This window comes from Homo sapiens, chromosome 12, assembly GCF_000001405.40.
Source record: "Homo sapiens chromosome 12, GRCh38.p14 Primary Assembly".
In the NCBI taxonomy this organism is placed as follows: domain Eukaryota; kingdom Metazoa; phylum Chordata; class Mammalia; order Primates; family Hominidae; genus Homo; species Homo sapiens.
In genome coordinates this window covers 39,530,336-39,557,669 of record NC_000012.12, presented here as the reverse complement: position 1 = coordinate 39,557,669, position 27,334 = coordinate 39,530,336, and the positions used below count along the sequence as shown (strand labels likewise).

At 37.0% G+C, this 27,334-nt stretch overlaps 1 protein-coding gene and 1 long non-coding RNA gene across 8 annotated transcripts in view; one reads left to right on the top strand and one right to left on the bottom strand.

Annotated features, from left to right (window-relative positions):
- Positions 1-26,645, top strand: part of ABCD2 (ATP binding cassette subfamily D member 2) — an 88,779-nt gene extending 62,134 nt beyond the window's left edge. For 6 of the 7 annotated variants that reach the window (NR_182046.1, NR_182045.1, NM_001412791.1 and 3 more), the window contains one exon: positions 3,539-7,637. Coding sequence is in view for 5 of the 7 variants with exons in the window: in NM_001412791.1 (NP_001399720.1) it covers positions 3,539-3,758 (220 nt within the window). In the remaining 2 variants the exon portion in view is untranslated. Of the gene's footprint in view, positions 1-3,538; positions 7,638-25,609 lie in introns of those variants that run through there. The other variant, XM_017018992.3, reaches the window with a different exon arrangement.
- LOC124902918 (uncharacterized) lies at positions 7,688-11,404 on the bottom strand. The gene is made up of 2 exons (XR_007063277.1): positions 9,063-11,404; positions 7,688-8,675 (listed from the first exon to the last, which is right to left on the bottom strand). It is a non-coding gene; the product is annotated as an uncharacterized LOC124902918 (long non-coding RNA).
- Positions 26,646-27,334: the final 689 nt, after the last annotated feature.

Sequence of the window (27,334 nt, the reverse complement as noted above, 5' to 3'; positions counted from 1 at the left end):
CACAAAGCAGCAAGTTCCTGGACCTGGCCCAGGAAACCATTTTTACCTCCTATGCCTCCAGGGCTGCCATGAAGACCACTTACATGCCTTGGAGACATTTTCCCCATTGTCTTGGTGATTAACATTTGGTTCCTCATTACTTATGCAAATTTCTGCAGCTGGCTTGAATTTCTCCCAAGAAAAGGGGTTTTTCTTTTCCATTGCATCGCCAGGCTGTAAATTTTCTAAACTTTTATGCTCTGCTTTCCTTTCAAACATAAGTTCCAATTCCAAATCATCTCTTTGTGAAGCATAAAACTGAACACTTTTAAGAGCACCCAGATTACATCTTAAATGCTTTGCTGCTTAGAAATTTCTTCTGCCTAAATCATCTCTCTCAAGTTCAAAGTTCCATAGACCTCTAGGGCAGGGGCAAAATGCCACCAGTCTCTGCTAAAACATAGCAAGAGTCAGCTTTGCTCTAGTTCCCAAGAAGATTCTCATCTTCATCTGAGACTACTTCAGCCTGGCCTTCACTGCTCATATTACTATCAGCATTTTGGTCAAAGCAATTCAATAAGTCCCTAGGAAATTCCAAACTTTCCCACATCTTCCCATCTTCTGAGCCCTCAAAATTGTTTCAATCTCTGCCTGTTACCCAGTTCCAAAGTCACTTCCACATTTTTGGGAATCTTTTTTTTTTTTTTTGAGACAGAGTCTCACTCTGTCACCCAGGTTGGAGTGCAGTGGTGTGATCTTGGCTCACTGCAACATCTGCCTCCTGGGTTCAAGCAATTCCCTGCCTCAGCCTCCTGAGTAGCTGGGATTACAGGCACCCGCCTTCACGCCCAGCTAATTTTTGTATTTTTGTGGAGATGGGGTTTCACCATCTTGGCCAGGCTGGTCTTGAACTCCTGACCTCATGATCCACCTGCCTCAGACTCCCAAAGTGCTGGGATTACAGGCATGAGCCACCATGTTAGGCCTGGGTATCTTTATAGCAGCACCCCATCTACCAGTACCAATTTACTGTATTAGTCTGTTTTCATATCGCTATAAAGAACTGCCCTAGACCGGGTAATTTATAAAGGAAAAAGGGTTTAATTGACTCACAGTTCAGCATGGCTGGGGAGGCCTCAGGAAACTTACAATCATGGTGGAAGGCAAACGGGAAGAAAGGCACCTTCTTCACAAGGCAGCAAGAAAGAGAACGAACACAGGAGGAACTACCAAACACTTATAAAACCACCAGATCTCATGAAAACTCACTCATTATTATGAGAACAGCATGGGGAAAACCACCCCCATGATCCAACTGCCTACGCCTTGTCTCTTCCTTGACACATGGGGCTTATGGGGATTACAATTCAAAATGAGATTTTGGGTGGGGATGCAGAAAAACCATATTATTCATTAAGCTTACTTTAAAAACAACTATTTTAATTTTTTTGTCAGGCAGGTCAAACATCTCCATCTTTTTAGAGTCAGTCACTGGCACTTTATTCTGTCCATTTGGTGAGTCCCATTTCCCTGATTGTTCTTGATCCTTCTGGTCATGAATTGATGTCTACACATTAAAGACCTAGAAATTTATTCCAGTTTGCATAGTCTAGCTTTGTCTGAGAAAAGTTCTTTGACAGTAAGCCTATCCAGAAATTCTAGGCAGGTCACCTGTTGTGGTTTCTAAGATAGTGATTGCTGCAGCTATTGCAACACCAAGAGCACTCTAAGCCCAGGACGATGGTGGATGGTGCAGTGTCAGGGTGGAATCCCTTGACCACCAAGGCTGGCACAGTGCTGAGCTGAAATCTGAGCCCCCAGCCACTGAGTCCTGCCTGCCACTGTGGGCTATTTGGAGCCCATGGCTTCTATAGTTTGTTGGTTCGTGGTGATGCAGACCAGAAATTGAGTTTGTCTGACAGGGACAACAGGTTTCTGTCTGGCACTGAGGCAGGTTCAGAGGCTCAGTCTGCAGGTACCAGCAGAAGTGAGGGTCTGTAGGAGTCTGTCTAGTGCTGGGTTTTACTGTGGCAGGCCTGGTAGTGTGTTCCAATGCAAACTCTTATGCTTACATCCCTCTCTTTTCCCCAAGTAGATGGTATTTCTCTCTGAGCTGTGCACTTTGTGGTTGGGACATGGGTGACTTGGAGAATGTAAAACTGCACTTCCTACCCACTCCAATGACTATTTTCTTATTAATATTCTGTAACCAGATACTGTGAACTCTTGCCTGGTTTCCTTAGCTTCTGTAGAGGTAGAGGTATTTTTGTGTGTAGGTAATTTTGATGTTTTCCTGCAAGCGGATGATCACTGTAGAGTCCTATTCCACCATCTTCCTCCACCCTTTGTGCGTTGAAATCATTTGTATAAGTAAAAGAAGTCAGTCACAAAAGGCCACATATTCTATAATTCCATGTATATGAAATGTCTATAATAGAGAAATCTATAGAGAGAGGGGAGATTAGTGGTTGTCAGGGGCTGGGTGGAAAGGGAAATGGAGAAAGACTGCTGATGGGTATTGGGTTTCTTTTGGGGTTGAAGAGAATGTTCTGAAATTACTGGTGATGGTTGCATGAGCTTGTGAGTATGCTAAGAATCATCGAATTTTACGCTTTAAAGGATGAACTTATGGTATGTGAATTATCTCTCAATTTTTTAAAAAGCAGGAGGAAACTGCTTGAAAAAAGCCCACCGATCATAGTTAACAATGACAGACCAGATCTTAAAAGGAAGCAAGAAGTGAGAAAAACTATAAGGGAAGGCAGAAAAATTGAGGACACATAAGAATATAGGCCAGTTCAGCAGTGAAAAAATGCAGGTGGTTCAGCCATGCAGGACCAGCTCTGCCAACTTTTCTTTCACCAAATATCCCCCACAAAGCCGACAGAATGGTGACCTCAGCCTCCTTTAGGACAAGGTGGATCATCTCCTATCTCATCAGTAAAATAATCTCTGTACCTCTGTGAAGTTCCTAATTATGAAACTGAGCCATAAGAAAGAGATTAAATCATATAAAAATGTGGAAGTATCTTTAAAACATTTCTTCTATCAAAGAGTTGTTTTTTAAAATGTTTTTAAACTATATTTATTATTGAGAAAATTTTACTTATGCAGAAGAACTCATTCCCAAAGGATGGTGTATTAATGAGTTGCTATTGTATTTCCTTTATTTTCCTTAGTTTTTCTATGACCTTTTAATGTTGATTTTCTTTCCTCAGCTTCCTTTCCTTACTCCCATCCTAAGAATGCCTTACTATTTATTCAGGAGCCAAATTGAGTTATGAAGAAATTAAATACATGCAACAGCATGTCTTCCTTTACAGTTAATATACATCCAGAATATGAAAAAAATAATAATATTTTCCTAAAGATCAGATTAATGACTTTTGGGTTTTAAAAAAATCACAGTATTTAACTTTTTGATATGTCCTTAAAACTCAAATGTAAAATAGCACCTACTTAAAATTTGCCTTTGGGTATCAATTTGAATGATAAACCTACAACTAAAATGATTTTTCAACATTATGGCTAATAATATTATTTCATTTTAATTATGCAGGAAATACCACACACATTTATTACAGTTTGATGGTGAAGGAGGTTGGCGCTTTGAACAATTGGATACTGCTATCCGTTTGACATTGAGTGAAGAAAAACAAAAGCTAGAATCTCAGCTAGCTGGAATTCCCAAAATGCAGCAGAGACTCAATGAACTATGTAAAATTTTGGGAGAAGACTCAGTGCTGAAAACAATTAAAAATGAAGATGAGACATCTTAATTTGTTTTGACATATTTTAAAAGTTAATTATTAGATAAAGGCTCAAAGACATTCTGTTATACTGCATGAAGTATGTTAAGCTAAGCACAGAGAAAAAAAGGCAGCAAGACATGTTTTATAAGATTTTAGCATTAAGGAAGTATATGATCTGACTTTTCAGAAGAAAATAAACAAATGCATTATGTAAGGTCAGTCATTATGACTTATACTAATTCCTAGTGAAGGCCTAATGCACTTGTAAAACAGGATTTTCTAGGTGAATTCATGATGAATACCAGATTTACTATGTATATGTGGTGTGTCTGAAGTTCTTAACAAACATGGGCAATATTCTGGAAATGAAACAAGTTAAACTGAGCAGCATTTGGGTTGATACCAAGTGCATAAGATTCAAACTTTGAGTGACATTTAGTCCATTTATGGTTGATATTAGGTTTAATAGCTAGAATTCAAATTGATTATTGCTAGTGGCCAACTAAACCTGTACAAAATAGCTGACAGTTTTATAAATAATTTCAATATAAAAATTGTTTTAATGGCATTTGTTGAAAGAAAAAAGCATGGCTAAAATGTATAAAATGCCATATTTTTAAATTTTGGACTTTAAGCATCTTAATGAGGGCATATAACAAATTAATTTTAGTACAAATCTTAAATATTTTTAATAAATCCTTTCATTTTAAAAAGAGAATTGCCAATACAGAAAAGGAGTATCCAAACAATGTCTCAACCTGATAATTTCCTTAGCAGAATTACCTATTGCAACTTCTGTTCAGAAATACACAGCTTGTTTTTTTGCCCAAGGATGAGTCTACATTTTAAGAACTGCAATGGTATAAAGGAACTTAAGGATTCTGAGAATCATAGTAATAACATACATTGGAATAGTACTTTATAATTTACAATCCCCATTTACATCATTTCACCTTAATGTTGATGACAATGTTTTGAAACAAATACTATTTTTCCTACTTTGCTTTTGAGAAAATTGACACTCAGACTTGCCCTAATCATGCACTTTACTTAAGGAAAGATCGAGAAATCAAATGAAGTTCTCCTGACTCTCTGGTTTAGTGCTCTTTTGTTATTATCCTTTAAATCAAACTGGGCTATAATAGCAATAAAAGTTAGACGAAGTGTAGAAAATAAAATAAATTTCATAATGTTAGTCTTATTGTTATTTGGTTATTGTTTACAAGAAATGAAAATTAAGTACAAAGTGCAAAGATCATTGTTCTGCGGCTTAAAATGAAATGAGAAAGTTAGTAAATCATTCAGCAACTATGCAGTCTTACTCAATATTAATGTACCTCTAAGGCATTAGCAATGAGAAGGGCAAATAATTATGGTTTTGGTAAAGTTAATATTTATTGAACATAATGAGAAATAATCTATATGGACTAGTCATATGAAATAGATTTTATTCTATTTGTGTGCACTGGAGCTGGAAAGCCAAGACTGAAACTTTATCTCTTGCTGCCTGTGATACCACATTGACATACCAGAAGAATATTGGAATGATCAGTTGTTAGTGGCCTAGGATTTTATTTGCCTGTTGAGACACAGCCATAATAGATGTTAAGTCTGTGATTCTTAGACTTTTCAGGTGATAGAGTACCTGGAAGTCATTCATAATGATCGTTATAGAACATCATAACATTTCTACATTTTCAATTCTGCCATGATAGCTAGTGTATTTTTAATTTTCAATAAATGTAACCAACTTACATGAAGGAATGCAATATAAAATTATAATCAGTACATTTGTCCAACGTTTTCATTAGTATTATCACCTACTTATTCATCAGTTACTAATATTTCCTGTTAGAAAAGTGAGGCAGGAATTAAAGATTTTTTTTTAAGAAGCATGGAACCAAAACTTAAACTTGCTAAAAATTATTCATTAATCTTTTCTACATAAGTGATTATCCAGTTTATACTGCTACAAGGGCAAAAGTCTGAGGCAAGTGTTTTAAGTTAACTTTTAAAGGTACAAGAAGAAAATGAAAAATCCTCATGTGAAAGATGTGTATAATTTTCATGCCTTAATTTTCATAATATAAAAATAAAACATAATTTTAAAACAACCTGATAATTTTGTTTTGAAACATTGAAAAGAATGCCAAAACAAATATTAGATTTGTAATTAGTCAGTATTTAATATATTTTACCCATGAGCTAAAGCAAAAAAGACTCATTATTTATGATGCACAGGATTCAAAGATGCCTAAAATTCTGTATTAAAAACTATGTACACTGTAATTTAAATGTTAAAGTTCTAATATGCACATGTTTTCCATGAGCTTTTTGTGCCTATTTGTTTTCTGAATTTATTTTTCAGGACCAACATCCTTAACTTGGAAGGGAAAACATCTCTGATTTGAACTTGTATTTATGTACCATTCAATTGTTTCCAAATGGTCCAATGGGTATACCATATTTTACTACTCTTATATTTTACGGAAAACATGAAAAAGACTGAGAAACTAGCCATTTTTGAATACAGCAAGGGATAGATGAGGAAAGGAAAAAAGAAAGAATATTTCAAGTTTCAAACTACTTTTACCATGTTATATCTATTTGCCCAAACGTTTGACATATTTTTGGTCAAACAAAAAGCTATAAGTTTATGGAGCTTGAGTTTAAAATGTGCATTCTTTAGGTTAACTCTTAAACTTGAAAAATAAGTTGGATTCTATGAAAACGTTGCATTATATTTCTACAGCATGTAATGTTATGCCAAGCATGAGTCTAAAACAGTTTGTGTTCTTGTAAGCAGGATAATGTGTAATAATCCCTCTGAAATAATCTCAAGAAGAATGATATACCTTAAAACTCAACTCAAATTTACATTTGTTTACAGTGGGAATGGTTTTCTCTTGATAGAAATTTGGTTTTTGTCTCAAGTTTTGGTCTGTCAGTAAAGGCATAAATGAATATCCTAGTTTTTATTTGAAACATTGGTTCCAAGTATAGTTTCATATTTGGCAATAGATTCATCTTATTCTAATATGTTTGGAATAGCTTTTTGATTCAATGAGTCTAGGAAAATCTGTTACACATTGAAACCCAAGTCCAGAGAATGTTACACACTTCTAATATATGCATAAAATGATGGTAAAGGTTATTAAATCATTGATTTAAAAAGATGACTTTGATATAATTACTTTATGGGCAAAATTGTCCTCATTTAGAAGTGAAAAGTACTTTCACATAGCCTAGGCTATTTACAGTTCTGATTATATACATTTAGATATGTTGAATATGTTTTGGGGTTGAATATGTTTTGCCACATGAGCGCCTTCAGGTGGATGTATAAAATATTTTTTTAAAAACCAATTTCTTCTTCATTGTTGATGCTTTTCCTGACTACCAAGTTCAGGGCTGGTTTACATTTCATATTGTGAAATTTTCAAAACCAATGGTCTATTTATAAGCCAGAATTGTATTAATGAAAATGAATGAGAAAAATGTCCTTAAAGGTAAAAATCATTATGTAGCTAAATGAAATTGTGGCTGTGTGTGAGTACATTATAATATAATTTCCATCTGATGTGTATTTACTTGAACTCATCATTCCTTATGAATTCCTTAACCATTAAGAAAAAGACTAGATTAATCAAAGGAATTACAAATTATTCCATTTTTACAAAATACCCTGTTTCTATACTGCAAATGGCCATGTTGGGTATATGTCTATATACGCCTTACTTAGACATTGTATTGTATATAACCGTGTGTAGAACTATAGACAATAGTCACCAAATAGTTATTTAAATATTAATTTTCTTTATTAATACAACACATTTAATAAGTATCTACCTATGCCAGGCACTGTGCTAAGTTCTATTACTAAATAAAATTTGGTCCCTGTCCGAAGATGCTTGTGACCATTGAAAATTAGGAAAATGAATGCCCTCAGTCAGACAAAAAGTCAACAGCTGGATTTATTATTAGTACTTACCAAGTAGGCACAAATCATTGCATTTACAGACTTCACCAAATCTTTGTAGGGTATAAACAAAATGCTAATTTAATAAAAGAGGAAAATGAGGAGAGAAAGGTTAAGTAATTAATCCAACCTCATACAATACCCAAACTATAGAGCTGAAATTTGACATGAGCAATATTTGATTATAAAGCCTATGCAAGTCCACATAACCTTCTTTTAATTAGTTTAGGTCATTTTTCATTATTACTATTTTTAACGTAAATATTAAGTATAATTTTTACTGACTCAAGGTTTCTGGTTAACCAAACAGATAGATGCACTTTTCATCTAAAAAGGGAACTTATGTTACACTTTGTATTTTTTTTATTTTAAATTATGGGTGTGGTCCTATGGGAGAGGGAGAATATAAGGCAAATTTTCAAAAGTTTTGAGGCCCTGGTTGTCATTATTCATTCACTGATTCAGTAAATACTTGTTGACACTTCCATGTACCAGTTGCTATGCTAGGGATTCAGAGATTAACAAGACAGTCCTTGTCAGAGCCCTCATGAAATATTTTACTATATCAATATTAAACAAATGTATGCCAGTTAGATGTTGTGACTCCATATAAATGACTTACTTGTTTTGTAGTATCTTCTCAGCTCTTGTATTTTCTATCTAAGACCACTCTGTTGCAATTTAAGTGATAAGCATATTCTGGCAGCAGGATTCCCTCAATAATACACTTTTGGGCTTCACAATCTTCATGATCTTTAACTTGGGCTATTACAAGTTCCAACAAAACCAGTCCTTAGGACTATATCATCCTTTGCCAGTAGATGGTCCTATGTATTTAGCATGTTGTCTTGAAACCTAAGAAACCGCTTCTCAAGTTCAGATCATGTAAAACTAGCCAGTTTTATACATTCAAAGGTAAGTCTCGTATGTTACCACAAAACTCAGATAAACATAGCAGGAAAGTTCTAAAAAGCAAAAGAAAAATAAACAATTATAGTTGTGTTATAAACAAGGATTCCAAAGTTAATAATATTTAAAGTTACATAATTTGTCTCAGTACTTGTGACCCAATATAGAAACAAAAAGATTAAGTATTCACTTATGAGTTTTTATGTGATTTAATATTATACCTAAAAACAGATTATGTAGCAATGAAGCAATGAAATACTGATAAACATGAAATAATATTAACTTGGCTATATCATTTAATTTTAGTCAGTTTAATCCATATAAATAAGGGGTAACCTTATATATGAAGTATATTTAATTTGTATATATTAAATATATTAAATTTAATTAAAATGCATTGGACCTACAAATGTATAAAACTAAAGAATTTTCTGATGACTCACCTGGGAAGGTGCAAAAGAGGTCTTATAATCAGGTGACAGCTTATGGAAAGCTAATATAATGAGACCTTTTTCAACATGCAGATGCTGATATTTCCAGAGTGACAAAGACCGATGAAGCAATTGTCAAAGTCCCCTTTTTTAGGCTAGCTCATTGTTTATATGAGACAAGTTTCCAAGACTCACATAGGTAGGGTATAGATAAATGAGGTTAATGTAGATCCAAGCAGCTACAGATGCTCCTTGACCTAAGAGGGGGTTACATTTTGATAAACACATAGTAAGTTGAAAATATCATGAATCAAAAGTACATTTAATATACCTAACCTGCCAAACATCATAGTTTAGTCTCGCCTACCTTAAATGTGCTCGGTTGCATTACATTAGCCTACAGGTGGGCAAAATCATCTAGCATCATAGTGCACTGTAGAGTATTAGTTGTTTACCCTTCTGATCAGTGGCTGACTGGGAACTGAGGCTCACTGATGCTGCCTAGCAGTGCAAGAGAGTATCATACTGCATATCTCTAGCCCAGGAAAAGATCAAAGTTCAAAATTGGAAACTGGAAGTACAGTTTCTACTGGATGCATATCACTTCCACACAATGGCAAAGTTGAAAAATCGTAGGTCAAACTCTCATAAGGCAGGGACCTTCTATACATATATTTTACAACCTGACACACATACACACATGCACATGCACATACACATATACACACACAACCCCTTAGAAGTTTATTACAAAGCAGCATAAATATTTTGAGGACTTAAGTTACTGAATTCTTTTTTATTTTGGTAAAAAACACATAACATAAAATTTACCATCTTTAACATTTTTATGTGTACAGTTCAGTAATGTTAACTATATTCATATTGTTATGAAGCAGATGTTCAGAACTTTATCTGGCAGATCTGAAACTCTATGTCCATTAAACTCTCCTTTTTCTCCAACCCCTAGTTCCAACTAACCACCAGTCTACTTTGTTTCTATGAATTTGACAACTTTGGATACATTATATAAGTGGAATTATACAGTATTTGCTTTTTTGTGACTGGCTTATTTCATTTAGCATAATGTCCACAAGATTCCCCCATGTTGTAGCATGTGATAGAACTTCCTTCCTTTTTAAAGCTGAATAACAGTCCTGTACATGTATATACCATATTTTGCCTAATCATTTACTTGGGTTGCTTCAGCCTCTTGGCTATTGTGAATAGTGCTGTGTGAATATGGTTGTACGATTATCTCTTTGAGACCATGTTTTCAGTTCTTTTGGATATATACCTAGAAGTGAATTGCTGAGTTTTTATTTGTGTGTGTGTAGAATCTCCATCCTGTTTTTCCTAGCTGCTGCACTATTTTACAGTCCTACTAACAGTGCACAAGGGCTCCAATTTCTCCACATCCTTACCAGCACTTGTTATTTTCTACTTTCTGTATAGGAGTCAATCTAATGAGTATGATGTGATATCTCACTGTAGTTTTGATTTGCATTTCTCTCATGATTAGTGATATTGAGCATCCTTTCATATGTTGTTGGTCATTTGTATATCATCTTTAGACAAATGTCTTTTCAAGCCTTAGCCTGAAAAAAAAATTTTTTAATTAAAACTTGTTTCATGGTATTTAAGGCCCACCATGATCTGGCCTCAATTTGTTTTCTCTGCTTCCAAATAGCTGTTTCCCCTTATCCTTCCTCCATTCCTCTGTTCTTCATTCCCTTGACTGGACACAGTGGGTGTTCCCTTTTGCTTTTCCTCTTACTCATTTTATTTTCTCAGCCAACAATGCCCTTACCCTACCATCTTCATCTATCAAAACCCTATCTAGCTTCAAGGACATTTAAAATTTTTTTTCAGTTGTATATTTTCCTTTATTATGACTATAGAGGACTTTATTTCAAATCTTACCATTACATTTATCATATGCTACCTTTTATCATGTATCTTCCCTAACCACTCATTCATTCATTCAACCAATCACTATTTATTTGTCACATAATCTCAGACTATTCAATCTAAAATACTCCCCCAACCAGTCCTTCTTCAACACATTACCCAGTTTTATTGTTCATGTAACTTATTATTATCTCCATTTATCTTATTTATTTATATGACAATTGAATCTAACTTCATATAACCTCCACCCTTCTTAGACTATAAGCTCTGTGGGGTAGGAATCTTGCTTGTCTTATTTAGTTAGTATTCATGGCACCTAGAACAATACATGGCAGATAGGGAACACTTGAAAAGTATTTATTCAATAGGTGCCTAAATGCATGAGTGAACAAATGAATACAAATGGAGCAAAAAATAAAAAATGTGAATGAAAAAATAAAGGTTAATTTCTGAGAATGAATAAAATTACTGTAGGAGAAGAATATTAAAAAGTGCACTCACTCCTTCATATTCTTGTGTATTAAACCCACATTATTAGGTAAAATTATAATGTGCAGTTTTTTCTTTTCTGCTGAACAGAAAAATTAGGCATCTTGGGAATTTCATAATATTTATTTCATCTACTTTCTTTCCTCCTCTCCAGAATAAATTAAGAATTAACTCACTGGTTTAAATCTTCCCAACAGGATGGTGATAATAAAAGTTTTACAAACATTTCTTCTAATTCCTTGATTCAATAGAAAGTAGATATTACAATAACTATATAAATGGACTATCTAGCTCCATGTTTTCCTCTCTCTTTGAGTCCCCAAACTGTATATCCTTCCTCTTTCTGCTTCTTTGGGTAGCTCTCAACATCCCTCAAGTCAGGTGGACAGGTCCAGGAATTCATAGATCCTATACTCTTACTATTATCAAGCCAATGACCATAAAGAGGTCTTTCCTCAAATTAGAGTCTTTTTACTTTCTTTTTGTGTTTGTATAAAAAAAACTCAATGCCAACAGAACAACCTTACCCTAATGGCCACAAGACCTGATCACAACAATGAAAAGGTCAATTCACAGCAGAAAGCAAATTTTCACCAATAATAGAGCCTGTTAGAAATACAGCACCTCTTCTCACCACCAGCCTTAGGTATCGGCTTGAGTGATGATTAGGTACACTAGCTTTGGAGAAAGACTGCTTGGTGGGGTCCTGCCTCTGTTATCTCCCTGCTGAGAATGTTATATAACCTCTTCATGCCTCAGGTTTCTCATTTTTAAAATGGAGATAATAATGGCACTTACTTCATTGCATGTTGTGAGGCGGGAGAATCGCTTGAACCCGGGAGGCGGAATTTACAGTGAGCCAAGATTATGCCATTGCACTCCAGCATGGGTGATAAGAGCGAGACTTCATCTCAAAAAAAAATCTTACCTGAGATTCCTCATGGAACAGAGTCCTATCTAAGCCAAATTTTTGAAGGCTTTATTTTTAGGCTTTGTTAGTCTAAGTGAAAAATAATTACTCTTGCTGCACTTCATGCAAATAATCAGGCCAAGTACAGGAAGACTAAAGTTTATTTTGTAAACAAATTAGTTCTACCATGATTTGTTTTTAATAAAAATGGGGACTAGAGAGACAAAAATTATGCTTCAAAAGAAAAACTATAGTACACTGTTGTTAGCTGTTTTTGAGGTGTTTTTCTGCAGTTTAAGCTAAATTCTAAATTCTTTGTGGATTAGAAGTCCCCAAACTAATGCTTTCAAATCTTTGCTTTTAAAATTGGAAATTGTACTACTCATCCTAGGACTCGTTATTTACCTTACAGTAGGCTGTTCACTTAAACACTGTAGTAAAACTGTAGATAAGAGTACTAATGTTTCTGCCATGCAAGCCTTGGAAGCTCAACCAGGCCTGCATGAGTACACTCAGACAGTTGCAAAGCAGTTCCACTCTTCTCACCCTGGGGTTCACTCCCATTCCCACTATGTCTCCTGTCAGCAGGAAGAAGCCAGAGCGATCCACAGCCTTTTCCTATCTTCATAATCTACACCTTAAGATTAAGGTGTTATAAAACCTAAAGGGAGGGATTGAAACCACCTTTGCAAAATTATGACGGAGACAGTGAAAGAGATCTAACTTAGCTGACTCCATCTTGCTTCTAACCTCCAAGCTGTCCTTGTTCATTCCTGGGTGTAGGCTGAAATAACTTTGGGATAAACTTAGTTTATAGTTTACACTTTACACAAAGACAGTAACAGCCCTTTCCCAAAGCAGACCTCCTTCTTGCCTGGGGACTAGATTGTCTTTGTAGGATGAACATTAGCCACAAGATTAGAAATTATGGTTTACGAGTCATGTAGCTGGAGGCTACAAGATTCCTACCCTCCCTAAACTGCTCCTGAGATCAGTGCTTGAGATATTTTGCAGACCCTGCACTTGATGGATCAGCTGGCATCACCCAGATCAATAAACTGGCTCATCTGATCTCGTGGCCCCCACCCAGGAACTGACTCAGCACAAGAAGATAGCTTCGACTCTATGATTTTATCCCTGACCAATCAGCACTTCTGGCTCACTGGCTTCCCCCCACCCACCAAGTTATCCTTAAAAACTCTGCTCCCTGAATGCTCTGGGAGACTGATGTGAGTAATAATAAAACTCCAGTCTCCCACACAGCTGGCTCTGCATGAATTACTCTTTCTCTATTGCAATTTCCCTGTCTTGATGAATTGGCTCTGTCTAGGCAGTGGGCAAGGTGAGCTCCTTGGGTGGTTATATCATTAGAGAAGGACGTATAATTTTGTGGGAGAGGTAGTCCTTTTGAGTTAAAAGACCCCAAGTGTGAGCTGATAGAGGATACTGAACTAGTGCTCAGTGTCTGATGCATAGTAGTTACTTAATATATGTTTGTGGAATAAGTAACAGAATGACTGAATGAATCCATAAATAAAGTATTAACAGAAAAAAGGGAAAAGGAAATAGGCACATGCCAATAATAAAATTGCTTTCTTTGCAATTGGGCTAAGGTTCCAAACGTCAGATGGCATGTTGCTGAAATTGTATGGACTTTCTCTCTTTGCAACAGATCCTACTGGTTACTAAAGCCTGGATTGTATGTAAAATAATGTGTCCAAAAAGCTGAAACAAAAGCTGAAACACTAAGTTCTTCTCAATTCCGTTTCTCCAGTCCCAAATTTGCTGGTGTTCCTACACAATTTTAATGTGTCCACATCATGCTTATATCTTTCATACAATCCCCACAAAGGAAAAGGACATAAGAGAGCAAGGGACTTGGAAAAAAAGAATAATAAATAGAAAGATAAGGAAATGAAAGAGAGATGGTAATATATGACTGCAGCGGCAACAGAAATTATACTTAGAGAGGAGAGGAGTAATTCTGGAGACCTATGACCTATGACCAAGGGTCCAAATGTCACGCTGGCTTCCCTCATCTCTCTCTCATCTTCTCAGATGAATTTCCATGTTCTCAGGAAACTCTGGGCAGGTGAATATTGAAAATTCTCTGTCCTTATAATGGGATGAAAAATTGGATTTTATCACAATCTTTATTGATATTTTGACTTAATATGATAAGTCAAAAACTATACTGATCATACCCATCTGGCAAAATTCCAATCATGTGTGATCCTAATCACTGGTTCTCTTCATATGTGGAAAAGAGCAGCTGAGTGCTGCTGGAGCAAGTCACTCTTCGAGGTAAAATATTCACTATAAATTCATGATGATCAACTTCAAAAGATTTGTCAGCACCATTCAGCAATCCTCCTGTATTTCTTTAGTTCTCTCACTGTTCCACTCTGTACAACTGGTCTCAAACTTTTCCTGCTCTCTGAACAAGCCCAGTCCTCCCCTCCCTTCTTTTCTCACAGCTGATCATTGGCTGACCCTTTACATTTCTGCCACCAAACGTAAAAACTGACCCTTATCCTCATTCATTCTATACTTTGTCCCTTTTCATAAACATAGCATTGCCTATTTGCCTACCTAATTCAGTCACCCCTAGAACTCATCCATGACATCTTCTTGCTCTTCATACTCCACAGCCAATTCACCATCAAATCCTATTCATTGTGACCCCTAAATAACAGCCCTTGAATAAGTCCTCTTCTCTCCATCTTCACCATTATTAGCAAGGTTCAAGAATAACTGTTTTCTCTGACCTGGACTACTGCCATTGCTTTCTAACTAATCTCTCTACATCCATTCATTAACTCTACCAATTTATTCCTTTTTTTTTTTTTTTGAGATGGAGTCTCGCTCTGTTGCCCAGGCTGGAGTGCAGTGGCGTATCTCAGCTCACTGCAACCTCCACCTCTCGGGTTCAAGCGATTCTCTTGCCTCAGCCTCCTGAATAGCTGGGACTACAGGTTCGTGCCACCACAACTGGCTAATTTTTTGTATTTTTAGTAGAGATAGGGTTTCCCCATGTTAGCCAGGATTGCCTAGATCTCCAGACCTCATGATCCGCCCGCCTTGGCCTCCCAAAGTGCTGGGATTACAGGCATGATCCACCATGCTTGGCAATTTATTCTTTAAAATTTCTTTAATATTTTAAAATTTTATATTACACATATATGAAAACTTCATGAAACATAAACATCCAGCTCAATGCATGATCACAAATCCTGTTTAACCACCACCCAGGTTAAGAAATAGAGCATTTGCCAGCACTGCAGAGGCCCACCCTATGCTGCTTTCCTTTTAATTACCAGCCCTTCCCACTCCTAGTGCCATCACTATCCTGTCTTCTAACACCACATTAGTTTTGCCTGCTTTAAACTTTATACAGATAGGATCATATTGTTTACATCTTTCTGTCTGTATTCTTTTACTTAATGTTATGTGCATGAAGTTCATTAATGTTGTAGTGTGTAGTTGTTTGTTCATTCTCATACTATATGGTAATACTTTTACAGCACAATGTATTTATTCACTCTACTCTTGATAATCCTTTGGTCTGGTTCTAGTTTAGGGCTATTAAGAGGAGCATACTGCTGTGAACATTTTTATCCATGTCACGTGCTCCACATGTGCACACATTTCTCTTGAGCCCATCCATTCCAGTCGCAGTAGCCAGTGACCTTTTCCCACTGCAAATCTAATCCTGTGATTGTTCTCTCAATTACTTTTCATAACTCTTGGGAAAGACTAAAATATTTAACTTTGTCCATAAGCCCCTACATAATCTGAATTCCTTTCTCCTCAAGCCTCTTCTTGAAGCACACTTTCTGTGCTTCAGGTCATTTTTTCCTTTCCTGAAATGGGAGATGCTCCTCGCATCGCAAGAGTCTTTCACAGGTTATGACACTTGCCTGGAAAGCTGCCCCCTCACCGACTTTACTCATTTTTTTCTTCAGATTGCAGTTCTTTCTTCAATTCCACAGGGACGCTTTCTTAAACTCTCTTTTCCAGTTTAATTCTCATAACAGCACTGTCTTCTTTATATCATTTATATCACAGATGTAATTTTACTTTTCTTTAACATCTATTAGGTTGGTGCAAACGTAATTGCAGTTTTACTATTACTCTTTAATATTTCCAATCTCCCATTTCTATTTACACTACTAGATCATCAGTTTCATGCAGACAATTACTATGGGATTTGTTTGTTTGGCTCTAGATTTTCTCCTAGCCTTTTGCCTGGTCCATAGTAGGAACTCAAGAAATATTTGTTCAATTGTTTATGAAAACAGTGAAACTCTGTAAAATATTTGAAGACATTTATTCTGAGCCAAATATGAGTGACCATGGCCCATGACACAGCCTTCAGGAGGTCCTGAGAACATGTGCCCAAGGCGGTTGGTTGCAGCTTGGTTTTATACATTTTAGGGAAGCATGAGCCATCAATCAAGTACATTTAAGAAATACATTGGTTTGGTCCAGAAAGGTGGGACAATTCAAGCTGGTGGGGGAAGGGAGGGTGTTTAGGCAATTTAAACATTTTCTGGTTGACAATTGGTTGAGTTTTTCTAAAGACCTGGGATCATAGAAAGGAAATGTTCAGGTTAAGACAAAAGATTGTGGAGACCAAAGTTCTTTTGAAGTCTCATAGTGGCTGCCCTTAGATACAATAGATGACAAATGTTTCCTATTCTGAACTTTAAAAAATGCTAGACTCTCAGTTAATCTCTTCAGAATTGGGAGGGCCTAGAAGAAAAATATCTAGTGCTGTCAATAGAGATTCTTTACAGATGCAAATTTTTTTCCCACAAAGGATAGCTTTGTAGGGCCATTTCAAAATATGGCAAAGAAACATGTTTTGGGGTAGAATAATTTGATGTTCTTCTTTGTCACGTAATGCTATGCCAGAGTCAGATCAGAAAGTAAGTCAGGATACATAGGGTTAAATAAAACCCATCTGATGAGAATTTATGGTTTGTAAGGTATGACTCCCCAGACCCCTTAGGTAGGAATTTGGGCAAGATAAGAAAAATCAGAGCTTAGTCCTCAGAATGAATGAATTAATCAGATCACCACTCTTCACTATGTGCAAGGGCTATAAGTAAGAATTAAGGTTAAGTATCAGAGAATTGGCGTAGAGTCACTAAAATGTTTTCTAAGGGGATTATTAAAAACAAGAACAACAGCCCTTGCTGGATGGCCGGCTGTTAGGTGGGCCAGACGATGTGGTCTGACAGACCAACTGTCTGTGAGCACTCAGTGCACAGGAAACCTGGATCAATGCTCCACAGAGGCAGGGGACAGGCAATACTATGGTGTGAGGTGAACCTGGATTTGAGTCATCACTCTTCCACTTAATCTCTGTGTTACTTTGGAAAAATTAGAAAGCAGGAAACCTTGGTGGCAAGATAAGCTGGGATCTGGCTCTTGACTATAGCTGTCAGTGTGTTATAATGCTGTTATTATAACAGCCTGGCTGCTGGAACCCCCAGTAGTAAAGTGAAATAGTCAAGGCTCCCCAGCACAGACAATAGCTACATTGACCTTGAGTTTAAGAAAAGCCCTCCCATGATCTCTTATAAGGCACTGCACTTGGTACTGTGCTGTTTTTGATTAATGCCTTTCTCAATATCATAGGCTCCTTCTTGCTGGTCCACTACATCAGCAAGGGTGGGGCAAGTGTCGTTCCAGTCCTGCTCCTAGGCATTCTGGTGTTCCCATTGAGATTTTAACTCCTACAATAACTTTCCAGATTTTGATGACTAGCACCCACCTCAGCCCTGAGGAAAAGAGTCTCAGTGGGACTGCCCCAGCTTTAAGATATTGAGCAGAAAACTATAGCTAAAGGGCTAAGGAATCCTGTAGTTTGCATATGTTTAACAAAACAATAACCAGATTTTACGGGCCCATCCCAAAGATATTAACTGAGCTTACAATTAGCTAATTAGGACATGTTCTGTTTCCCATCTCTTGACCCTGGCAAAAGCTCCTGCCAAGTTTTTCAACAGTAATATGCATGATGGAAGAATAGAAATACTAACTATGAAAATGAGAAGTTATTCTGTGTCGAAAGTGTTGCTGTCACCACCCTCTTTAGAGTTAAGCATTTCTTTTAGTCTGCACTGTCAATTTGTTTTTGTACCAAATGGAAGAATGCAGTATGTCTAATTTCTTATTAAGAGGTAACTGATTTTTGAAATATCAAAGTATCTTATTGAAGGGTTCTTGTGTAAGTTCGAACCCTGAGAGTGCGCCAACAGACAACACGAGGTGGTGTGGAGCAACATGCTGTTTTAATGAGCGCCTGGGTGCAGGCGGGCTGAGGCCTAAAATGGCATCAGCCCCAAGTGAGTATGGGACAGGGGTTTTATAGTCCTCTGTAAACAGGAAGTGTCCCAGTCTGACCTGACTGCTACATAGTACCCGCACGGCGTCTTTCTCGATCTTCAGATCTTCAGGGGTACGTGTTTTCCAGCCAGGGTAGCTGTCTTCCGGCCAGGGTAGGTGTCTTCCCGCCGGCTCTCTTCCCGCTTCTGCTATCTTGCTGACGCACCCTGTTGACGCAAGTAGCCTTGCGCCTTGGGACTGGGTCTGCGAAGGGAGGAGTTACTCATCCCTTCAAGCTTTCAGGCCCCAGGGAGAATTTCTCACTTATCCCCTATATTTATCTCTAACTTCATGTTTTAATGGAAGACGTTGGCAAAATCAAGTATCAGTGTGGGTTTGTTACCAGTGGAAGGTGTCCAGGTTCTTGGCGTCTTGAACAAAGAATTGGACAAAATGCACAAACAAAGCAAGGAAAGAATGAAGCAACAAAAGCAGAGATTCCTTGAAAATGAAAGTACACATGCCTGTAATCCCAGCACTTTGGGAGGCCAAGGCAGACAGATGACTTGGGGCCAGGAGTTTGAGACCAGACTGGCCAACATGGTGAAACCCCATCTCTACTAAAAATAATAATAAAAAAAATATCCAGGCATGTGGCAGGCACCTGTAGTCCTAGCTACTCGGGAGGCTGAGACAGGAGAATCGCTTGAACCCTGGAGGTGGAGGTTGCAGTGAGACGAGATGGCTCCACTGCACTCCAGCCTGGGAGACACAGCGAGACTCCACCTCAAAAAAAAAAAAAAAAGAAAGAAAGAAAATGAAAGTACACTCCACAGTGTGGGAGTGGCCCAAGCATAGGGGCTCAAGAGCCCCATTACAGAATTTTGGGGGGTTTAAATACCCTCTAGAGGTTTCCATTGGCTACTTAGTATACACGCTATGTAAATGGAGGATATTTCCTGTCATAGGTGAAGTGTTTCCATTTGATTTAGTTATAGGAAGTCCTTAGGTTCCCTGCCTCCAGACCCTATTCTCCTGCCTCATTCTGATTCATCTGTAATATTTTTTACTTACTTTCTTATTGATAGCAACCAGGAATTTTTTTATCCCACAGAGCAAGTTTTTAAAATGTAAACACTTTCTCTGTTTACCAGTTCGTGGTCAGCTCTGGATCTGGTCTACCAATAGGTTGGACAACATATAATTTGCATCATTTTGTCCTTGTAAATCAAGGTGTTCTGTAGATCATGCATTTAAAGACTGGACTTTTGGTTGTTTCCTAATGAAAAATGTACATAAGTGGTTATTATTCTGAGTTTATAACTCAGCTAGCATTATTGCTAGCACCTTGTTTTATGATGTCATTCTGATAATGATTGAAAGACTCAGCCTGGATCCTTGGATCCCTGGAGGACCAGATTGCTTTATTTTGATTCTGTTTTTTAGCTTGTAAAAAGGTGACATATTCAAAAGAAATGAAAATGTTAAAATCTAAATCCTAGATTTAAAATGAGTTAACTTTAAACATTTCAGACATCATTTTAATGATTTTATGATATATTCAATCCTAATATCCAAATCTATCTTCATTTTTAGGCAGCTGGCATTATGGGTCACACTCTACTTTCCAGTCGTTCTTTTACTCAGGTTATAGACTGGCACAACTAGAAGCCTGGATATACCATCAACTGAGATTTGGAAGGCTATGGTAGAGCAAGTTTTAGGGGGAAGATGAGTTCAGTTTTGCACAAGTTTAATTTTAGGTGTCTACCTGATATCCAAGTGGAGCTTTTGAAGAGGTAGGTGCAATGCATGTGTGTGTCTAGAGTGCGGAGGGGGTCTAGGAAATTTGGACAATCTCCTAAGAGTCAGAGGGCAGGGTGAGATCACCAGTGGAGTGAGTGCACACAGAGAAAAAAAAAAAGAGGACTCAGGAAATGAGGCACAAAGAGAGAGCGGCCTGAAGCAGCCTCCAAGTTTAGGCACATTTGGTAATGGAGGGTAGCCTGGGGAGTCCAGTATTAGTCACATCTACTTGGCAATGAAGATGTGAGACAATATACATAAAGCTTTATCATGGGTAGTGTTTGCAATGCAAGGCTCAAACCAGAAGGTTTTTAGCCTAACCAAATTAATTGGTCCTTTTTATGAAGGTGATGCTGCTGGCCAAAAAACAAACACACACACTCAATCAAAATGGAACACAGGGGTATAAAATGAAAAGTAAACATTTAGGGGGATGGAAAGTGAACGTTTTCTCCTTCAGCTCACCTCTCAAGGTTGTCCAGTTAAGTTTCTTGTATACGATTCCTAAAATGCTCTAAGCACCTAAACAAATATCTGTTTAACAAACAACAACAACAACAACAAAAACTCTCCTCCCCATTTTACTAAAGCCAAGAATTCCACAGTATAGTCATTGGTTCCCGTTAAAATCAGAATTTAGCATGTTCAATGTATATAAAAGTGTTAGCTTAATTTTGCCAAATATAAGAACCGGTTTATGAACAGTTTATATGTGCCTTTTCTTAAAATATAACTTAAGCATGAGAATATATTTGACCCTTCCATATTTGGGAGCTTCTGGCTGCTCAGGCCCCTCTACTGCAGATCTAAGACACAGTCAAAACTCTCAGTGCCACCAGAGTTTCTGTGGTAGAATTGTCTGGGGTCTGATACATTCTCAAAAATATCAAAGCAACATTATTTAAATGAGAGAATGATGTAGGGAACAAATAAAAGTGAAATAGAAAACATCTTTCTGGACACATGGCCTCTGTGTATATGTGTGAAAAGTAGATGAACAAATATATAAGGTTTCTTCTGGACTGTGTATTTTACATGGAATTTTCATTCATTCTTTATTTTATTTTATTTATTTATTTTTGAGACGGAGTCTCACTCTGTCGCCCAGGCTGGAGTGCGGTGACGCGATCTCGGCTCACTGCAGCCTCGCCTGCCAGGTTCAAGTGATTTCCGGCTAATTTTTGTGTTTTTAGTAGAGACAGTTTTCACCATGCTGGCCAGGCTGGTCTCAAACTGCTGACCTCAAGTGATCTGCCTGCCTCCGCCTCCCAAAGTGCTGGGATTACAGGCATGAGCCACCGCGCCTGGCCTCATTTCTTTATTGTTTAAATTTTTAATTTATACTTTCAATAGCATGTAGTATTTACTTAAGGCTACTTTTCAATTATGGCATTATATTTTGTATTAGTTTCCAGGTAAGTATAAACACTTGGCATAGTTTGTGTATATTTTAGAATGAATAAGTGTTGAAAATTAAGAGATTACAGTATCAAGTTGCTTGGATATCTAAGTACAGACAAATTTCAATTCGTTGAATGTTAAAGCAAAAAAAATTTATCTAAGATATTTCGAATTTAGAGATTATACATTTTTAATTGAATATGTTAACTATGTAGATTTATTTTGGACTATTTGTAGATTTTATGTAGATTTATATTTGGACTTTATTTGAAGTGAATTAACAAAAATAATCTACAAACTACCTTTGATACTAATGGAGATTTATTTGCCCTCACATATGTCTTTTTTAATAAGTAGTTTGAAAGTCAGAAAACTTTTAAAATAACATAAAATTTATTTTTTAACTATAGATTTATAGAGAGGTCTAGTGATTTGAAAAACATAACAATTACCTGTTTGTGTTTGTTTAAATATGTAGTTTCCTTATTCTTAAAGTTAGGAGTTAGATTAGATGCTTTTTAAAGTTTTTTCAACATTTTGTGATTACTTAATCCCACCGTCTGATTCCAAATGTGGTCAGGGAGAGTGGATTGGATCTTGTTTGATAGCCCTCTAGTGGCTATAACTTTAAAGGGGCACAATATTTAAGAAAGAAAAATTGTTCCAGAGAAAAGAAAATCCATTTAGAGAAGCAAAAGGGCCAGGAAGGACAGAAAGGAAGTTAACTAGATAGTGAGACAAGCATTAAATTAGAGGCCAGTGTCAGACAGCGCAAGCCAGGTAGACAACGAGATATAAAGTCAATATTTTCTCTTTGTTTTCTTTCTTTCTTTCTTTCTTTCTTTCTTTCTTTCTTTCTTTCTTTCTTTCTTTCTTTCTTTCTTTCCTTCCTTCCTTCCTTTTCTTTCTTTCTCTTTCTTTATTTCTTTCTTTCTTTCCTGCTTTCCTTCCTTCCTTTCTTTTCTTTCTTTCTTTCTTTCTTTCTTTCTTTCTTTCTTTCTTTCTTTCTCTTTCTTTCTTTCCTTCCTTCCTTCCTTCTTTTCCTTCCTTCCTTCCTTCCTTCCTTCCGTCCTTCCTTCCTTCCTTCCTTCCCTCTCTCTCTTTCTTTCTTTTTTTCTTTCTTTCTTTCTGGGTCTCCCTGTGTTGCCCACATTGGTCTCAAACTCCTGGGCTCAAGGGATGCTTCTGCCTTGGCCTCCCAAAGTGCTAGGATTACAAGTGTGAGCTGCCATGCCCGGCCTAGAGTCAATATTTTCTGAGCATGCTTTGTACTAGGAGCTTTTCACATATTTTCTCACTTTATCTTTACAAAAACTCTATGAAGCTGGTGTAAGCCCAATTTTTACAGGCAGAGAAACTAATGATAGGAGGGGAAAATGACATTCCAGATCACACAATTAGAAACTCTAAAGCTGGGATTTGATTCCAAAGTCAATGCTCTTACCATATCATGTAACAAGTGAAGTTTCAAATTGTGTTTAACTGAAGATAATAAGTTGGGCAGAAGTTGTCCTTTATTCCTTACAGCATTGCAGCCTCCTGTTGGCTCAACAACTGGACTGGCAGGGGCATGATGGATGTGACAGGGCCACCACCCTACTGCACACCTATCCACCTACTTATGGTTCTTGTGAAACTGGAAGTAAGGGGTGGAGTTCACTGATGACTCCCAGGTTCATAGCTGCTAACATAATGCATTAGCTTAAAATGGGTGGAGAAAAAAAAACAGTAATACTATCACAATTTGTGATGAAGGAGTTGTTTCTATACCCCAGGTTCTGCAAAGCACACTATTCACATGCACCAATTTTTTATCACTTTCGTTGAGATTCATTCCTATCATACGCCTTCTGTTTCTTATTTTTCTTTATCTATTTTCATAACATGTAATACTGTATCTATAGCCAAAGGCTAGAGATGGGCTGTGTTTGGTAAAACACTACACTGGTTCCAGGCAGTACCTAAAGATGCTGTGAATAGTTTTAGGGATACTTCTTGGACGATGAAACAAGACGTGTTAGGGAGTGCCTATTAATTTCTAAAGACTGTTTTACAATTGTTACAAAACTAGAGATTATGACATTCTAAAGTAATTTTTAAAAAATATTTGAATATACCCCTAACACAGGGGTTAAAGAAGAAAATTTTCCACAAGGTAGATCTCACTATAGAAAAACCTCTACATGAACATCTGAATGAAAATGTGAATAGGTTGTTTTTTTCCTTAGAAATATTGTGAGGTATGAGAAAAGTCCTAAGAGCTCTTAATTTAGATTATGTTCTCAAGAAACTATTAATTCATTCATCTCTTTCAGGGCTCATCAATTGTTCTGCCTTTTAATTTATTTGTATACTTCTATTATCCCTTTACAGAAAAAAATGAATCTCTTTTGAGGAAATGGATTGTTTTGCTCATTATGATAGTTTTATTTTCAATGGTAAAAGTAATAAGCATATTTAAAACAGGTTTTAAAAAAGTCAAGATGTATAAGGAAAGCACTCATAATCTCTCTTCTCTTCAATCTTATATGCCATGTGAATAAATTGGTAAGCATTCATACCTTTCTCTATTTTCTTTTTTTGTTTTTGTTTTTGTTTTTTTTTGAGACAGAGTCGTGCTCTTGTCACCCAGGCTGGAGTGCAATGACACGATCTCGGCTCACTGCAATCTCCGCTTCCCAGGTTCAAGCGATTCTCCTGCCTCAGCCTCCTGAGTAGCTGGGATTACAGGCACCCGCCACCACCCCTGGCTAATTTTTGTATTTTTTTTTTTCAGTAGAGACGGGGATTTGCCACGTTGGCCAGGTTGGTGTCAAACTCCTGACCTCATGATCCACCCACTTCAGCTTCCCAAAGTGCTGGGATTACAGGCGTGAGCCACTGCATCTGGCACTTTTTCTATTTTCATACCAACATGTATAGAATTTATTTACTTCTGTTTACTCCACATAATTCTGTAACTTAAAAACATTTTATCTAATATATTATAGATATTTTCTTTTAAAACATTTGTTTCTAACTTGTTCTTTTTGTAAGTGCCTACTACTTTATAAGGTGGTGCACTGTTCCACTGTTGATCGGTATCTTAATTGTTTCCAGTTTTTTTGTAATACTGCTATCAAGACTGCGATAGACAGCTTTGTCTACGTGGCTTCCATGCTGCTAAGTGTATTTCTGCAGAATAGCTTCTCAAGAGTGGAATGGAAGAATTAATATACATTGCCAGATCTTCTTCCAAAAAGATCGTAGCATTTCCTACAGTAATGCATGAGTGCCAATTTGTCTCCTTTGTCCCCAGTAGGTAATATATATTATCAATCTTTTAAGTTTATCAAACTGGCAAAAAAAATAGAACCCAATTATTCTTTACTTTGTATTTGTGTGATTATTGGAGATGTTGAACAGCTTTTCAAATGTCAGATGTCAGCTTCACGTTTTAAAGTTCTATTACCTAGCACAATTCTCTTTCATTTCAAGCCCTGCCACTATTCTGAGTCTTTTCAATCCACATGTGAATAACTCATCTAACTACATGGGTCGTTTTATGCCTTGACCTTTTCATCTCTAATGATATTCATCTCCACCCACATGAGCCATTCACTTCCATGGCCACAGTTGAACTTTGTCATCATCTAGAACTGCTTGAACATCTGAACTTAAAGTCAGATACCTCATTTTGATGCCTTCTTTCTACACTTCTATTTCTCAGGTACTCCCACAATACCTGTTAATCCACCTAATTGAGGTTTCCAGTCCCATCCATCTATTCTCTGTAAGTAGATCATCTCATAAGCAAGAAAAAAATCTTTCAACACTGTGGCAGTCAAAGCTTTAGAAAACAGTGCTCTCCTCAGTCTTCTTTGGGAATACGTAACGTTCAGCGATTTTTCAATCCAGGCGCCCCTGGGCGGCATTTGCGAATATATGGGTTGTTTGGGGTTGTCACAAAGACTAGAGGTTACTACTTGCATTTAAAATATTGTACAGACTTCCAATGATGCTATATGTCTTGCAAAATCTGGGACAGCCCCTCACAAAAAAGCATGATTCCACCCAAAATAGCAACAATGGCCTTAGTTAAGAAAGACTGAACTCCCTTAATAATCTGATCAAAGAGAGGAATGAAGATGTACATAAAATTTTCTTTATAATGTAAAAGGTTTTACTGATCCGTGAAGTCCAGCCAGAGAGAGCAGATTAAAAACTCCTGCCTAAACTTTGTACTGTTTAAAAATATGGTTGGCAGCATTTACCTGTTTCAAAACTTCCTCACATTAGTCTTTCTGTCATACAAGAAGCTGCAAAATAAACTGCTCCTCCTTTTCTGGTAGAAGGTCAAAACGGTCTAACAAGTTCCCTCAAGCCTCCTTCTTAAGGGCATTAATCCCATCCATGAGGTCTCTGCTCTCATGATTTAATCACCTCCGAAAGACCCTCATCTTTTAATACCATCACTTGGCTGATTAGGTTTTAACGCAGCAATTTTAGAGGAACATGAACATTCAAACCATAGCAGAAACTAACTCATTTTATTAATGGACACCAAAGACAGAGCTGACCACCCTCCTGATGACAGAAAAATCCTATAAAATGCAACCCTCCTACCCCCACTAGAATGTAAGCTCAACAGGGCAGGTTTTGTTCACGGCGGTATCCCTATATATAGAAAAGTGCCTGGAATTGAAGCTTGATAAATATTTGTTGAATAATTTGATAATATATGTGATTAAGATGCTGCTTGAATCTATGTGTTGCAAAAGTAAGTTTTTATTTCACATTCAGAAGTCACTGAATTGTAGGTATTAAACTAACTGTTAACCTGGCCGGGTGCAGTGGCTCACTCCTGTAATTCCAGTACTTTGGGAGGCCGAGGCGGGTAGATCACTTGGGGTCAGGAGTTTGAGACCAGCCTGGCCAACATGGTGAAACCCCCATCTCTACGAAAAATACAAAAAATTAGCTGGGCGCCTGTAATCCCAGCTACTTGGGAGGCTGAGGCAGGAGAATCACTTGAACCTGGGAGGCAGAGGTTGCAGTGAGCCGAGATCACGCCATTGCACTCCAGCCTGGGCAACAACAGTGAAATTTCACTTCAAAAAATAAGTAAGTAAGTAAGTAAGTAAGTAAGTAAGTAAGTAAGTAAGTAAACAAACTGCTAAACAGCCCAATAAAACTTTGCTTTAGCTTGGCAGCATGCTAAAATTATTTTGACAAGAGTTTTAAAAGAACTAGGAAAGATAGTAAATTAAGGGCTTCAACAAATCTTAAAAATCTTATTTTAAAGGTTAATGTGGATTTTTTTCTGATGCAAGAAAACCATTTGCTATACAGAACAGTGAGGTATTATGGAAATTCTTAAATCTTAACTCTTAAATCCACTATTGGAATTATACAAAAACACTTACAATAATACACTGGCTATTGAATACCACTG